General features: G+C 34.6%; 1 annotated feature.

The window, feature by feature from the left end:
- Positions 308-409: a silencer, noted in NCBI's record as "fragment chr8:121910815-121910916 (GRCh37/hg19 assembly coordinates)". NCBI's record gives its function as "represses an EF-1alpha promoter that drives an FKBP-Casp9 reporter gene in an ReSE screen in phorbol 12-myristate 13-acetate-treated (for megakaryocytic differentiation) K562 erythroleukemia cells {active_cell/tissue: K562(+PMA)}" and the evidence as "EXISTENCE:reporter gene assay evidence [ECO:0000049][PMID:32094911]".

Here is a 638-nt window from a genome sequence, read left to right on the forward strand (position 1 = left end):
AAAGCGAGCAGGGGTACCTATTCTTATATCAGACAAAACAAACTTTAAAGCAAGAGCAGTTAAAAGAGACAAAGAGGGACAGACAGTATATAATAGTAAAACGTCTTGTCCGACAAAAAAATACCACAATCCTAAACATATATGCACCTAACACTGGAGCTCCCAAATTGATAAAACAATTACTTATAGACCTAAGAAATGAGATAGACAGCAACACTGTAATAGTGGGGGACTTCAATACTTCACTGACAGCACTAGACAGGTCATCAAGACAGAAAGTCAACAAAGAAACAATGGATTTAAACTATACCTTGGAACAAATTGACTTAACAGATATATATAGAGCCTTTCATCTAACAACCCCAGAATACACATTCTATTCAACAGCACATGGAACTTTCTCCAAGATAGACCATATGATAGGCCATAAAACGAGCCTCAGTAAATTTAAGAAAATTGATATTATATCAAGCACTCTCTCAGACCACAGTGGAATAAAACTGGAAATCAACTCTGAAAGGAACCTTCAAAACCATGCAAATACATGGAAATTAAATAACTTGCTCCTGAATGAGCATTGGGTCAAAAATAAAATCAAGATGGAAATTAAAAAATTCTTTGGACTGAATGACAATAAT

This window comes from Homo sapiens, chromosome 8 (genome assembly GCF_000001405.40).
Source record: "Homo sapiens chromosome 8, GRCh38.p14 Primary Assembly".
NCBI classification, from domain to species: domain Eukaryota; kingdom Metazoa; phylum Chordata; class Mammalia; order Primates; family Hominidae; genus Homo; species Homo sapiens.